General features: G+C 34.9%; 1 long non-coding RNA gene across 1 annotated transcript in view; it reads left to right on the forward strand.

Moving 5' to 3' along the window:
* The window catches only part of LINC01684 (long intergenic non-protein coding RNA 1684), a 119,203-nt gene that overhangs the window by 86,806 nt on the left and 14,730 nt on the right, over positions 1-17,667 (forward strand). Inside the window, exon 2 of the long non-coding RNA NR_135519.1 lies at positions 15,119-15,222. This is a non-coding gene — a long non-coding RNA (long intergenic non-protein coding RNA 1684). The remainder of the gene's footprint in view (positions 1-15,118; positions 15,223-17,667) is intronic.

Below are 17,667 nucleotides of genomic sequence, written 5' to 3' on the forward strand. Positions count from 1 at the left end.
AGATAAGCAGATAAATTTGATTGTTTGATTTCCTTGGTTTTCTCTTCTATTTTTTCCTTGTTTTGATTTTATTAAACTGCTGTTTTTATTATTCTATCTACTCAATCTACTTTGAGATTCATTTGATTTTATTTTTCTAGATTCTTAATTTGTAAACTGAGCTCAACAATGTAAGAACTTTCTTCTTTTTCTCCCAAGTGCTTAGTGCTACAATATTTCCTGAGTGCTGTGTCCTCTACTTCCCGCAAATTTTGATATGTTGAATTTTAATTTTCTTTCAATTCAAAATACATTTTAATTTCCCATTTGATTTTTTACTTGAACTCTTGAATTGTTCAGAAGCATTATTTACTATCTAAATATTTGATGATTTTCCAGATATTGTTCTGTTATTGATTTAAATGGAATTTCTTTGTAGTTGGAGAACATACTGTGTATGACTTGAATACTTTTAAATTTACTGAGATTTGTTTTAGGTAATAAAATCTGGTCTACATTTTAAACAGTGCTTTTCTACTGTACCTAAGTGAAGTGTTTCATAAATATCAATTAGGTCAAATTGATAGTATTGTTTAAATTTTCTACATATTTAGTAACCTTTTTCATAATTTTTCTATTGAGAAAGGATGTTTAAAATCTGATTATAATTTTAGATTTTGTATTTCTCTTTACATTTTTATCATTTTCCTTGATTAATTTTAAAACTCTGTTTTAGATTGATAAGTATTAATAAATGTTATGTCATTTTTAATTGACCCTGTTATTTTCAAATGACTCTCTTTTGTCTGGCAATCTTCCTTGTTCTAAAAATGGTTTTCTCTTATATCGATAGTTATCCCAGCTTGCTTTTCCTTAGTGTTATCAGGTGATATATTTTTTATTGTTTTGTTTTAACCAATTTGTTTCATACATTAAAGTGGGAGCAAGCATATGCTAAGTCTTGCTTTTTCATCCAATCTGAAAAGTTATGCCCTTTAATTGAGATGTTCAGACCATTTGCATTATTGTGATTATTGACATGGGTATTAATTTTCTATTACTATTATAACAAATCACCACAAATTTGGCGCCTTAAAGCAACCCAAATTTATTATCTTATATTCAGAAAGTCAGAAGTCATGGGAACAACATGCTGACAGGGCTGCATTCCTTCTGGATGTTCTAGGAAAATGTTTCTTTGGCTTTTCCAACTTCTAGGGACTGCATGTACTTCTTATCTCACGACTCTGTCTTCCATTTTCAAATCCATCACTTAAATATCTTAAGAAAAGCTGGTACCATTTCTACTGAAACTATTTCAAAAAATTGCAAAGGAGGAACTCCTTCCTAACTCATTTTATGAGGCCAGTATCATCATGATACCAAAACCTGGCAGAGATACAACATAAAAAGGAAACTTCAGGATAATATCCCTGATGAACATTGATGCAAAAATCTTCAATAAAATACTAAGAAACAGAATACAGTGGCTCATCAAAAAGCTTATCCACCATGATCAAGTTGGCTTCATCCCAGGGATGCAAGATTGGGTCAACACGCACAAATCAATAAATGTGATTCATCACATAAATGGAACTAAAGATAAAAACCATATAATTATCTCAATAGATGCAGAAAACGACTTCAATAAAATTCAACATCCATTCATGTTAAAGTCTCTCAATAAACTAGGTATTGAAGGAACATAGCTAAAAATAGTAAGAGCCATACATGACAAACCTGTAGCCAATAACATACTGAATGGGCAAAAGCCAGAAGCATTCCCCTTGAACACTGGCATAAGAAAAGAATGCCCTCTCTCACCACTCCTATTCAAGATAGTATTGGAAGTTCTGGCCATGGCAATCAGGCAAAAGAAAAAAATAAAGGAAAAAAGTAGGAAAAGAGGAAGTAAAGTTATCTTTGTTTGCAGATGACATATATAGAAACCCGCATCGCCTCAGCACAAAAGCTTCTTAAGCTAATAAGCAACTTCAGCAAAGTCTCAGGATATAAAATGAATGTGCAAAAATCACTAGCATTCCTATACACCAACAACAGGCAAGCAGAAAACCAAATCATGAATGAACTCCCATTCACAATTGCTAGTAAAAGAATAAGACACCTGGAAATACAGCTAGCAAGGGAAATGAAGGACCTCTTCAAGAATTATAAACCACTTCTCAAAGAAATCAGAGAGGACACAAACAAATAGAAAAATATTCCATGCTCATGGATGAAAAGAATCAGTATTGTTAAAATGGCCCTACTGCCCTAAGCAATTTATAGATTCCATGCAATTCCCATTAAACTAACATTGACATTCGTCACAGAATTAGAAAAAAATATTTTAAAATTCATATAGAACCAAAAAAGAGTCTGAATAGCCAAGACAATCCTAGGCAAAAAGAACAAAGCTGGAGGTTATCACGCTACCCAACCTCAAACTATACTTACTACAAGGCTACAGTAATTAAAAGAGCATGGTACTGGTACAAAAACAGACACATAGACCAAAGCAACAGAATAGAAAACTCAGATATAAGACCACATACCTTCAAACATCTGATTTTTGACAAACCTGACAAAAACAAGCAATGGGGAAAGGATTCCCTATTCAATAAATGGTGTTGGGAGAACTGGCTAGCCACACGCAAAAAAAAAAAAAAAAAAAAAAAAAAATGAAACTAGACTTCTTCCTTACACCTTATACTAAAATTAACTCGAGACTGATTAAATACTTAAATGCAAAACTCCAAACTATAAAAACCCTGGAAAACAACCTAAGCAATACCATTCAGGACAAAAACACCAAAAGCAATTGGAGCAAAAGCAAAAATTGACAAATGGGATCTAATTAAAAAGAGCTTCTGCCCAGCAAAATAAACTATCATCAGAGTGAACAGACAATCTACAAAACAGGAGACAATTTTTGCAACCTATCCATCTGACAAAGGCCTAATACCTAGAGTCTGTAAGAAACTTTAACAAGTTTACAAGAAAAGTGGGCAAAGGACACGAAAAGACACGTCTCAAAAGAAGACATATATGCAACCAACCAATATATGAAAAGAAGCTCAACATCACTGATCATTAGAGAAATGCAAATCAAAACCACAATGACACAGTATCTCACACCAATCAGAATGGTGATTATTAAAAAGTCAAAAAAACTGATGCTGGCTCAGTTGTGGAGGAAAAGGAACACTTTTATGCTATTGGTGGGAGTGTAAATTTGTTCGATCATCATGGAAGACTGTGGCGATTCCTCAAAAATCTAGAGGCAGAAATTCCATTTGACCCAGGAGTCCCATTACTGAGTATATATCCAAAGGAATGTAAATCATTCTATTATAAAGATACATGCATGTGTATGTTTATTGCAGCACTATTCACAATAGCAAAGACATGGAATCAACCCAAATGCCCATAAATAATAGACTGAATAAAGAAAATGTGGTACCTATACACATGGAATACCATGCGGCCATAAAAAGGAATGAGATCATGTCCTTTGCAGGAACATGGATGGAGCTGGAAGCCGTTATCCTCAGCAAACTAATGCAGGATCAGAAAACCAGCATCACATGTTCTCACTTATAAGTGGGAGCTGAACAATGAGAACACAGAGAGAGGAACAACACACACTGGGCCCTATCACGGGGATGGAGTAGGGGCGAGGGAGAGCATTAGGAAGAATAGCTAATGAATGCTGGGCTTAATACCTAGGTGATGGGTTGATCTGTGCAGCAAACCACCAAGGCACATGTTTACCCATGTAACAAACCTGCACATCGTGCATGTGTACCCCTGAACTGAAAAGTTGAAGATTAAAAAAATGAAATCAAATGAACAAAAGTAAAGAATCTTTAAATCTCTCTCTCCCTTTCTCTGTCTCTCTCTCTCTCTCTCACACACACACACACAAACACATACCTATGCTTCTGTTGTCATGTTGCTTCTCTGACATTGAAACTTCTCTCTCTCTCTTACAAACTTGTGATTACACTGAGCTCAACTTAATAATTCAGGATAATCTCCCTCTCTTAAAATCATTAACTTAGACATATATGCAATGTTCTTATTGCCATGTAAAATAACATATTTACTGGTTATGGGAATTAGGACATCACATCTTTGTAAAGCAAATATTCTGTCTACCATTTTGCTATTTTTTTCTTTTTGTGTCTTCATTCCTTTTTTTTTCTTTCCTCTTTTTGTAACGTTCTTTGGGTTTAAATATTATTCTATTCATTTTATCTAGTTCATCACCTTTTCCAGGTTATTAGCTATAGCACTTTGCATTATTTCTGTGGTTACTCTAAGGTTTATAGTATGCAGCTTTAAGTTGTCACAATATACCTTCAAGTTTTGCATGAAGTCTCTTACAAAAGTGTATTTCCATTTCTCCCTACCAAGTTTTGTGATGTTCCTGGTACATATGTTTTAGACTCTAAAAATACCATTAGTATTTTTACTTTAAACGATCAATTAAGGATAAGAGGTAAAAGTTCTTATAGCAATCCATGTAGCTACCATTGACAGTACTCTTTATATATCCAGGTTTCTATCTGCTACCATTTTCTTCTGTTTTAAGGACTCCTTAAAATATACTATAGTGCATATCCACTGGTGATGAAGTCTTTAAGTTTTTATATATTAAGCAAAGTTTTTCACTTTCTTTTTGAAATATATGTTCACTGGGTAAATAAATACAGGGAAACAGGTTTTATTTTGGCTTTTCAATGATACAGATATAATTGGATGAAATAATAATTTTGCTATGTTTCATTTTGTTTAGACTCTTTCAAAATTCTTATTTTTAAAGTATTTTAAGATTTTTCTACTAATTTATTATGACTGTCATTTTGTTTTGGTTATTTTTGGTTAATTTTATATTTTTCTTAACCATGAGTTGTATTTCTCTGCCTTTTTGAATGTCAGGTAATTTTGAGTGCATACTAGATAATGTGAATTTACCCTGTTGGGTGCTAAATATTTGCTTTGCTAAATAAATATTCTTGAGACTATTGGGGGATTCAGTTAAGTTACTTAAAACCAATTCGATTCTCTTGAGTATTTATGCTTTGCTTATGCAGTGTTCACTTTGTCTCTGGCTAATTTTTTGTGGGTACCAAAGTAAGGCCCTTCTTACTTGTCACGTGTGTTTTGGCACAGTTACTTCTAAGCATTTCAGGCAATTTTTCCCTCACCTCAGGTGAATTTCTCTTACATGTATCTGAATCTATACTCAGATCTGTAAGGTATGATGAGAAATTTGCACATCCGCAATGTCTTTTCTCTGCACAGCTTTTTGTTCGTTGGCATGTTGGTTTTGTGACCTACAAACTCGAGACACATTGGCTTCCCTGGATTACTATCTCAGTCTCCTCAATTCAGGGAGTACTTCCTGGGTTCCTCCTCTGTATGTCATAGCCTGGATTCTTTCTGGCTAGTAAGCTGGGAAATTTTTAGGTTTCGGTTGGTTTGCTCATTGACGCTTAGCGATTATTAGATTTACTTATTATTTATCCAATATCTTTGAACAATTTTTTTCATATATTTATGTTGGTTTTCAGTTGTTTCAGATGGGAATTTGGTCCCTGTTATTGCATAAGAACTTACTTTTATCTTTAAAATATTTTGAACAATATAAAATTATAGTAAATTTTCAAGACTATAATCAATACCTAATTACCCTTTGCTTAGATTCATTAATTTTTAAAATTCTGCCTTCTTTATTTCTATATATATTAAGAAAATAGGGCTGGGTGTGGTGGCTCACACCTGTAATTCCAGCAGTTTGGGAGGCCGAGGTGGGGCAGATCTCCTGAGGTCTGGAGTTCGAGACCAGCATGACCAACATGGTGAATCCCCATATCTACTAAAAATACAAAATTATCTGGGCGTGGTGGCACCTGCCTCTAATCCCAACTACTTGGGACGCTGAGGTAGGAGAATTGCTTGAACCCGGGAGGCAGAGGTTGCAGTGAGCTGAGATTGCACCATTATACTCCAGCCTGGGCAACAAGAGTGAAACTTCATCTCAAAAAAAAAAAAAAAGAAAAAGAAAAAGAAAAGAGTTATTTCCTGAACCATTTGAAAGACATTGTAGACAACATGGTCTATATCCTGAATACTTCCACATACAGCACATCTCTTGAGAAGGAAAAATTACTACTTAGACTGACTAGCAAAAGTATTCTCTTGTCTCAGTGATGTAAAATAAAATATATTCTGGTGTTTTTGTTTATAAAAATTGAAGAAATGAATTCATTAAGTCAAGAGGTGAGAATCCGGAACCAAGCACTAAATTAATTGTTCCACACTAGGAGCTAATACCTAGAAGATACATTCCATATAGAGCACCATCTGATTAAGCTCATGAAGCAAAAGGTAGAGAAGATAATGATGAAAGAGGAAGCAGAACCATAAACATGGACAACTATAAAAATTATGTGATGAAATCTACATGTTCAAGACCCTAAGGTGTTAAATATAACAGTGTTTATAAGTGAAGCATTTTTAAATTCATAAATATTCCTATTTGCTGTGTTGCAGAGAATGTATTTAAGGTTTTTGAAGAAACCAAGTGAGACTCAGCACATAAATTATAATCTAGGGTGACTTAACATAGGTTGCTTTTTAAGAGGTTCAGCATATTAAAAATTTGATTAAAAATTACAAGAAACAACATGAATGAATTGATGACTGATTATATACATACAGTAGAAGAACAAAAGGAAGTCTCAGGTACATTTGAGGAACATCACTGCTGGTAATTCTACTTATGGAGATGAGAAAGGTAGATTGGTTTTCCTTTATGAAAGTTAGGGGTATTGAATTTGGGCTTTGATGAAGGACAATTAGTGACACCCCTGTGTAGATAGATACCCATTGCTATATAACAAATTATCATGAATATTTGTATCTCAAAAATAAATATTCATTTTAATTAATAACACACCTGTATTAGGTACCTATTGTATGTAAAATATTAACCACAAAAATAGTGTCTTTAAATAACAATAAACATATTTGTCTCACACAATTTATCAGAGCCAAGAATTTCAGTGTCTTAACTAGGTAGTCCTGCCTCTTAAGTTTTTTATGATGTTGCAGTTAAGATGTTGTCTGGGACTTCACTCAATCCTTGAACAGGTGTGGATGGTACACTTTTAAGGTAACTCATTCAAATGATTGCAAGTTAATGCTGGTTGATGGGAGAAGCCTCAGTTCCTCACCATGATTACATCACTACTGAACTTATGTGTAACTAACCAAAAAATATGGTATGGTATGGTAGGGATATATTGGCTGTTGATACTGACCACAAAATATGTCTGTAAATCTGTGTTTACTAGGACAGTCAATATTTTTTCCCTGAGTTTGAAAAAATCATTTTCAAATGTTCACTGGCAAATCTGGATAACAGCAGGCTCCTCCCACGCATGCAGACCCTGACCACAAAGCAGGTAATTGACCTTGGCCGGGACACCAGAATCGGGTGAAGTAGCTGACTCTCCAGAACAGAATTTAATATTGTCTTCAAGAAACCAAAGGGAAGCATGCAAATCCTGTCTTTTCTCCCCAGGAAAGAGTGAAAGGAGGGCAAAGGGAAAGAATATTTCCTAGTATTTCTTTTTTTTAATTCAATTTAATTTAATTTTAAGTTCCAGGATACATGTGCAGGACGTGCAGATTTGTTTTATAGGTAAATGTGTGCTATGGTGGTTTGCTGCACCTGTCAACCCATCACCTGGGTATTAAACCCCACGTGCATTAGTTATTTATCCTGATGCTTTCCCTCCCACCACACTCCCTAAAGGCCCCAGGTCCCTAGTATTTCTAAAATAATTACATTCAAATAAAAGAATAAGAATAGAAAATGCGGTTTTTCCACTAACAACAATTTCAGGTATAGCAATCTCTACATATCTTGTGATTATGTCTTGAATCAACACGTCCTATCTCAAGCAAGGAACTAGATTGGAGATTAAAACACAATTATGTTTAAAAAACATAAGCCCTATGCACTATTGAAATTTACCTAGGAGAAGAGATAGGAAAAGCAAAGTAAAAAGAGAAGAGGATTTGTTAAGCAGTTTGTGATATATATTAATTAATATTTATTTTTTGTGTTCTTTAATAGGGTAAAATCACACGAAACATTTGACACAACATTAATATGAGTTTTCAACCATCTTTGCTACTTTATAAAAGTAAAATGAAATATACTTTACATAAATTATTAAAGATAAGTGTATATATTTTGTACACAGATACTGTGTCATTATAATACTTAAAATAAAATAAATAATATTATCTGACCAAAAAGATTTGTGAAATTCTGGACAAAGTTATATATTGCATGGGCGGGTAATCTGTAAAATGAGTCTAAAATGGGTCCAACTATGGGTAGTCTTGATGCCAGGTAAAAAGAACCAATAAAACTTTTAAACAGGAGAGGTGCACAAACAGATTTCGTTTGAATACTAAATCCACTGGCATCATACAGAATTGATTATAGGAGAAGTTTTGTGTCAACAATACCCAGAACTACTATGCACTTAACCTAATCCAGAACAAAATTCTCAAATTTGTGTTTTTTTCAGTGCATTTTATTATTTATTTATTTTTTACTTCTGCACATGTATCCCAAATTTCTATTTTCTAGAGTTTAACGTAATATTAATATTTTAACATAAAATAGAGAAAACTAATTTAAATGACTTGTATATTTATATAGTCTTTGATCCAGTTTTCTCTTTTGTTGTTTCTTGGTTCTATAGGAAAGATTAAGACTCATTGATTGAGTTAGTCATGGCAGTCACCCCAAAATGATTACAAGACTGTTAATACTGCATGATAATTAATTTCAGAAAGTAAAATCTTCTAGAAAGTTTTCTTCATTACTTACTGTCTTTTTCTTTATTTTTAAAAATGTTTGCCAGCTTTGAGATATAATCCCTAGACCATAAAGTTCCCGCATTTAAAGTGTACAATTCAATGGCTTTTAGTATATTCTGAGTTGTGCATGCATCACCGCAATCGATTTTGGAGCATTTAATTATTTCCTTCCAAAAAACCCTCTAAAACCTTTCCATACAACCCAGCTTAAAGCAAACACTAATCTGCTTTCTGTCTTTATAGATTTGCCTATCCTGAACATTTCTTATGAATCATACAATGTATGGTCCTTTGTAATTGGCATTTTGAATTAGTATGCTTTCATCCTTTTTGTACCATATATCAGTACATTTATTTTTTAATTTTTAAATGTAAATTGAAATATACAGAAGGCTGAAAAATGGACCCTTATCTCACATCATACAGAAAAATCAACTCAAAATGAAATACAGACTTAAACGTTAGACCTCAAACTGTAAAACTACTATAAGAAAACACAAGGGAAAAAATTACATGACATTAATCTGTGCAATGGTATTTTAGATTTGACCCCAAACGTGCAAACAACAAAAGCAAAAACAGACAAGTGGAATTACATAGAAATAAAAAGCTGTACAACAAAGGAAACAACAGAATAAAGAGAAAACTTACAGATCGGGAGAAAATATTTGCAAGACATACATCTGATAAGGGATTAATATCCGAAATATATAAGGAACTCAAACAATTCTACAGAAAGAAAACAAATTCTATAAAACTCAAACAATTCTACAGAAGGAAAACAATTTTTTTTTCTAAACAAAGAAAACAAATTTGTTTCTTTCCATAGAAAGAAACAAATCATAGAAAGAAAACATACAAATAATGGTCTGTTTTAATCCAAACAAATTTTGGATTAAAAAGTGGGCAAGGTATCCAAATAGATATTTCTTAAAAGAAGACATACAAATGACAAACCAGAAATATGAAAAATGTTCAACACACTAATTCTTTCTTTAAATCTAGAACAGTTTAAAACCAGTCACATCATTTTCAGTGGCATAATCAACATAAGTAATGTAAGTATTCAAAGAACATATCTGTTCTTTTAAATCAATTATGACCTTTCACATTTCAATGAAAATGTATGATTTTAACAAGTATCTGCAGGTTGGTTGATCCATAGGCTTCATAACAACCTCAGGCATCAGGGTCTTTTCTCATCCACAATATCAGCTGCATCATAAATCTCATATCTTCTTAATTATAGGATTGGTGCCAACAGCACCAATTATATGTACTTCCTTATTAGAGTCATTTGGGAGCCATATGCCAATTACTATTCCCTCCTGTCATAGTATTTTGAGTTATGGTGGTAGATACAAGCATGAAGTAGGTAAAAGACAAATTTCTCTCCTATATTGTTAATAATCTCTATGACTCGTTGTCTTTTTTTCTATTTTACCTTATACAGAAGAGGCCTGATCACTTTCCATTAAACATTTGAAAGATTTAGAAATAGATACATTGCTTCTCTAATTGGTATTTTTTAATTTTGTATTTTGTTATTGAAAAATACATAGTTTTCACTATCATCAGTATCAAAAGTTTATATTTTGCTAGAGCAATCCTTTGGAAATGCATATCAATTATTCGAAAATGTTTTGAATAAAGCAACTTCTTGCGATAGTCTGTTGAAACACAGCCTCATACAGAACACTGTGGGAAAAATTAGTTCACCATTTTCATGTTTAGACAATTAAAAATAATTTGAGGTATTAAAAGGATACTCAGGAAATTAGAAATTGTTATTCTATTTGGGAGCAGCTATAGAGGTCCTTATGTTGTAGACCTATATAAATTTGTTTCTTATAAATTATGTTTATAATTTATATATTTTTACTTTATCTTTTTTTTTTTTTTTTTTAGACAAATTCTCCTGTTTCCCAGGCTGGAGTGCAGTGGTGCGATCTGGGCTCACTTCATCCTATGCCTCCCAGGCTCAAGCGATCCTCCTGCCTCCACCACTGGAATAACTGGGACTACAAACTCACACCACCATGCCTAGTTAATTTCTGTATCTTTTTGAGTAGAGATAGTGTTTTGCCATGTTATCCAGGGTGGCCTCCAACCCGGGAGCTCAAGCCATCCACCCTCTTCGGCCTCCCAAAGTGCTGGGATTGCAAGCATGAGCCACTGCACTGGCTAATTCTTTATTTTAATGTTCATGTTTTCATTAGGCAATTTCAGTACACCCAAGTGTATTTTGAGAAGTGATTCACTTTTAATCTCTCCTAGTTTCTTTCAATTATGGCCGCAAAATTCATTAACGTTGTATGACTGATTTAAGGAAATGCTGTTGCATTAGTGAGTATCTACTTTTATAAACCTAAAATAGTTTCTTACCTCATGTCTCCTTACAATCATCTGATTATAGACAGTATCAATTCTATGAACTTGCATACTTCCAAAAAGAAAATACATATCCTGGGACTTTTGTATATTTTACATTTTTCTTGATTTTTAAAATTCAGTATTTAAGTTATTTTGGCAGTAGGAGCACGGAAACAAAATGACTTCTAAGAAAGTTTAAATCTATGGAAACACCAATTTTCTTTTTTTTTTTTTTTGAGAAGGAATCTCGCACTGTCGCCCAGGCTGGAGTGCAGTGGCGCGAGCTCGGCTCACTGCAAGCTCCGCCTCCGGGTTTCACGCCATTCTCCTGCCTCAGCCTCCCGAGGAGCTGGAACTACAGGCACCCGCCACCACGCCTGGCTAATTTTTTGTATTTTTAGTAGAGACGGGGTTTCACCGTGTTAGCCAGGATGATCTCGATCTCCTGACCTCGTGATCTGCCCACCTAGGCCTCCCAGAGTGCTGGGATTACAGGAGTGAGCCCACCGCGTCCAGCCCTATTTTCTTTTTTTCTTCTTCTTCTTTTTTTTTTTTTTTTTTTTTTTTGAGATGGAGTCTCGCTCTGTCGCCCAGGCTGGAGTGCAGTGGCGCAATTTCGGCTCACTGCAACCTCCACCTCCCGGCTTCAAGCGATTCTCCTGCCTTAGCCATCCGAGTAGCGGGATTACAGGTGCCTGCCACCACACCTGGCTAAGAAAGACCTATTTTCATTCTTAAAGAAGAACAGTGAGAAGTATTTAAGATACTTACTCATGTTGTTTCACATTCTAATGCCTCCCTAATCATCCACCAACACATTACAAAAAAAACAGCAATGTACAGCAATGAATTGAGACAAAGTTTCCATTATATGTCTCAGACATGTCATTTCCAACAGAGCCTATTGGAGTCTTTATTAAATTAAATGCTTTTTACTTACAACAAGATTCACATGGCTTCTTCAGAAATCCTAGGGCTACTAAAGTAAATAAAATTTTACTAAAGTTTTCAAAATAAATTTTGTAATTAAAATTTTAATCACACTGATTTACTGAAGGGATAGAATACATTCAAGTGTAACAAATATCCAAAACATTTTTAAAACCCAAGAAGTTATAATAATAGCTCTATCTCAATGTGATTATACTTGCAATATTTTCCATAAAATTACTTTAAAAGATTTTTTCAGTATTTAATTACTCATAGACATTGTGCAATATTATCAAATTATATTTAAATAGTTGTTTAAATAGTCAAATGTATGCATATATAAAATATTAGAAAATCATAAATATATGCTCTTAGAGGAATGCTCACATTTTAGATTAGTTAAAAAAACACAGCTTCAATTACTGATAAACATGCAGTTGAATATAGTTTTCTAAACTATATTCAAAAGTATAGTCAAGCTTTAGTATCTTATGAGTAAACACCTCGAATTTTGTCAAACCACATCTTTATGTATAGTGTAGTGTTATAGGCTTCACTATCATTATGAAGGTTTACATGTTAAGCTGTCAAAGTTGTAGTGTGGTAATGAACAGATAATTTCAGATCAATTGCAATCAGTCAACTTACCCCATAACTTCTCCGACTTATCCTCAGCAGATTATTATGTTAGACATTATGGTGTTGTTAATTAATGTATTCAGATTTGATGGGTTATTTTTCTAACATGATTTTAGATCATGATAGGAATTTAAAGTGAAGTTAATTACTTCTTATTTCCAAGAAAGTAATGCATTGGTGCTCCACATGAAAATAAAATGAACTTACATTAAAATTATTTAACATTACATTTTTTAAAATTATTTAATGATAATATTTAAAGAGAAAACTTGTTTACCAATATATGTTGCATCACTATATGAATAAGAACATACCTATTCTATTAGTCTTTTTTCATGCTGTTGATAAAGACATACCCAAGACTGGAGAATTTAGAAAGAAAAGAAGTTTAATTGGCCCACCGTTCCACATGGCTAGGGAGGCCTCAAAATCATGGCAGAAGGCAAAGAGGAGCAAAGTCACATCTTACATGGATGGCCGCAGGCAAAAACAGGGAACTTGTTCAGGGGATCTCCTCTTTATAAAACCATCAGACCTGTGAGACTTATTCACTATCATGAGGACAGCAGGAGAAAGACCCACCCCCATGATTCAATTACCTCCCACTGGGTCCCTCTCATGACACAGGGGAATTGTGGGAGTTACAATTCATGGTGAGATTTGGGTGGGAACACAGCCAAATCATATCACCTACGAAAATAGACAATAGTTGTTATGTGAAAATTGTATGTGTAAATATTTCCAAGACTTTTGTGTAACTAATATTTACCATATTGGGCTATTTTGAGGTAAAAATGAAATAATGCATGTAAAATACTTCAGCCATTAAATGAATTCGCTAAATCGTACATGCTGATAGACACATTTCAAGAACTCTCATGACTGGAAAAGAGCTTTAGTTTTGATCACCAGGCAAAGAACAGCAGCTAGCTCTTGAGTACAAACTAGGGCAACATGGAAAGTCAGTATTAAAAGGTAGGGATGAAGAGCAGCCATGCCCCATAAACATTTTCAGAAATAAAAACTTGTTTCCACTTGTATTTAAATTTTTTTTGCTTCTCTAAATTTGGATATTCAATTTGATGAATTATTTACCCTATCACTCTTGGCTTTTCTAATTCTTTAAAAATATACTATTTTTGCCAGCTTGTTTACATATTTTTAAGAGGTTGTCTTTGGATTGAACTAAACATTTATTAAGTAATTTGCAAAATTTAAGAAAAGAGATTTTGATGGGATTGACCTATAATTTAAAGGATAAATGGATATCACTAGAAATTTTAAGATACAATTTTGAAGAATTTCAAAGTAATCCTGGAAACTTCTAAATATGATTGTAGGAGACTCTGCTTGAATAGAGGTGATGACTATTAAATAGGCATATCAAATGATTTGCCTTGAGACAGGAACCAAAGTATAGTGACAGGATTGATTAGATGGCGAAACAATAAAAGCACCAGGAGCTAAGCTACATTGATGGGGTATGTCCTGTTTGATAACAGGGTTTTGTTCCTAACTAGCATTCTGGTTCAAAATCCATAAGGTTTAGCTATTTTCCTATCTCTTTCACTCCATCCCCATCCACTCACTGATTTCTTTTGTTTCTATGGACGTTATTATGTGACCCAGTTTATTACATTTGACTGATATGGTTTTGAATAAATGTATAAATATACACAGACATGTGTTTGTGTGTGTGTGTGTAATCAAACAAGTATATTACTCAAAAGTAGAAAACAATGAACAGTGGAAGTCAAACTCTTGTTTTTCTGGTTTTTTTTTTTTTTTTGAGAGGAAGCAATTGAAGAAATGAGACATCAAATTAATCTTTTAATTGGGATACTCCCCATTGGCACTTGTTTTATGTTCATAAAATTCTTTAAATTTTGTATTGGAAATAAAATTTTATATTTGTATCTCACTCTTCATACATAGTATAATGTTCTTCGCAATTAGGAAATAATAAAATAGTGATAAAAATTTAAACTATTTAGAAAATAAACGGCGATTGTATTCCAAATATAACTCCCATGAGCAAGTAGGTAAATAGAAGAGAGGAGAGAAATTTTCCAAGTGAATATTAAGGAAGATGCATGTTTGGGAATGAGAGAGAGAGAATGGAGTCTGAGTGAATTACAGACAGATTATGCGAGCATAATTATTTTGCACATTACTATTGCTGCTTGCAATTTCAGCAGCCTCCCTTTCTATCACAGTTGAAGATGAAGGGGAAAGGTGCTTTATTATTTCCATTTTTGAAAGCCCTTATTTTTCTTCATGTTGCCAGGTCTACCTTAAATCAGTAAGGTCTGTGGCTGTCCAGATGCACATCATAATCGGCACAGAACTCTACCATTTGGTCAAAACCAAAAACTAACTGGGACGCCTAAGGTATTTGTTTCTTTCTGGCCTTTAACTGCTATACTCATTCACTTTCTGATTGTGCTTTTAGCACTTAACACCAATGCCAGAGAGTGGTCATTTCCTCTTTAGTAAATAGGATAATGGTATACAAATGCTGAAAAAATAAACATCAAAATGAGACACTCTATATCAAAAGACCTCTAATGCCCAGATTACTCTCATTGTCTCATAGATAAACAGCTGCTAGATTAACAGTATAATTTTTAATCCATTTTCGGAGTATAAAACTTGTCAGTGAACATTCGCCAGGTTAACTTTCTCAAGATTCCCTATGGACACCATTGCAGAAAACACAGACAAAGGCACCCCCATGCTCTGTTGTGTCAAGATAGGTGGGTACTACAGGACTATCGGAGTTTTCTGAACACACTTGTTTTTCTGACTTTTGATTTCTAAACCCTGAGGTCCTAGAGGAGATTATAATATGGGGTAAAGGGAATGGCAAGAAGTTGAGAGATCGGGTTGCCATTTTCTATACATTGAGCCAAGCCTGCTCCATGGTAGTTGGAGAGGTGGCAGAACCAAAACGGGAGGATGCACAGCTGGGCCCAAGTATGCCTTGGAACTAATCAATATTGGTGATTAACAAGGGTGAATATTAGGGAATTACACAAGTCAGTTTTCAAACAAACTGTCTCAGTCCATTTAGGCAGCTACAACAGAACAGCATACACTAGGTGGTTTTTAGCCCATTCTTGAGTTTTTGTTTTTGTTTTTTGTTTGTTTTGTTTGTTGTTTCTTATTGAGATAGGGTCTTGCTCTGTCACCCTTGCTGGAGTGCAGTGGCACAATCATGGCTTATTGTAGCCTTGATCTCCTAGGCTTGGGTGATCCTCTCTCTTCAGCCTCCCAAGTAGCTGGAATTACAGGCCTGCACCACCATGCCCAGCTACTTTTAAAATTTTTGGTGGCAATGTGGTCTCTATGATCCCAGGAGTGATCACCTGATTTTAACTGGTTTTCCCTTTCTATCACTGGAAGAAGCACTGAAAAGGGTAGGAATAACAGTCTTGAATAGCTGATGCCACCCCTCTCTGATCTCCCAGCAGTGGCCCCATTACATGGAGACAAATTCTGTGTGCTTGGGGAAGAGACAACACAGTAATTGTGGGAATTTCCATTAAACCTCAGTGCTGCCCTGTCAAAGCAGAAAGCAACATCAGGCAGAAGTCAGTCAGTGCCCACAGAAGGGGCATTTATACCAGCCCTAGCCAGAGGGGAATTGCCCATCCCAGTGGTCGGAACCTGAGTTCTAGCAAGTCTTGCCACTATGAGCTAAAGGACTCTGGGGTCCTAAATAAACTTGAAAGACAATCTAGGCCACAAGGACTACAATTCCTGGTCAAGTCCTGGTGCTGTGCTGGGCTTGGAGCCAGTGGATTTGTGGGGCCTGTGACCTGGGGCAGCCAAGGGAATGCTTATGTCATCCCTCCCCAACCCCAGGCAATGCAGCTCACAGCTCTGGGAGACACCACTTCTTTTGGCTTGAGACAGGAGAGGGAAAAGTAAAGAGGACTTTGTCTTGCAACTTGGATACTAGCTCAGCCACAGTAAAACAGGCCATCAAGCAGGCCTCCATTCTAGACCCTAGCTCATGGACATTTCTAGAAACGGCCTGGGCCACATGCAAAACCACTGCCTTAAAGAGGACCCAGTCCTCACAGGATTCAGCCGCTGCTGCCTAAAGAGGCCCTTGGGCCCTAAAATATTCATCAGTGATAGCCAGGCAGTACTTGCCATGGACCTTGGGTGAGACTCAGAGATGTGCTGGTTTCAGGTGAGACCTAATACATTCTTACCTGTGGTGGCTAAAGGGAGAGACTCTGTTGGCTTGAGAAAAGCAGAGAGAAGACTAAAGTAGACTTTGTCAGGTACCTTATATAGCAGCTCAGCCATAGTGCAGTAGAGCACTAAAGCAGATTCTTGGGGCCCTGATTCCAGGCCTTGGCTCTCTAGCAGCATTTCTGGACCTGCCCTGGGCCAGAAGGGAGCCCACTGACCCGTAGTGAGAGTCTCATGCCTGGTGGCATTCACCACATGCTAAATGAGGAGTCTTTGGTCCTTGATTGAACATTGGAGATACCCTGGCAATACACACAACAGACCTAGCATGCACCATCTTTGACCTCAGGAATAGCAGACCAAACTGTCTAAGTTATATATATATTGACATTTTGCATATGTATTAGTTATTGAGATATTAATCCTTTTTCATTATCTTAAAATCATATATCTATTTAAAGGAACATAAGATATGGAATGTAGTATTCAACCCATATATTATCTGATATTATCTGTTAATTATCTTAAATATCCTCTTTTCTATTTCAAATCTTTCTCAATACTTTCATAATATTGATATTTCACAGAGTAAGTCCAACATTGTTAAAGTGTGTTAATTTACTCTCGAAA

Source organism: Homo sapiens, chromosome 21 (genome assembly GCF_000001405.40).
Source record: "Homo sapiens chromosome 21, GRCh38.p14 Primary Assembly".
Classification (NCBI taxonomy): domain Eukaryota; kingdom Metazoa; phylum Chordata; class Mammalia; order Primates; family Hominidae; genus Homo; species Homo sapiens.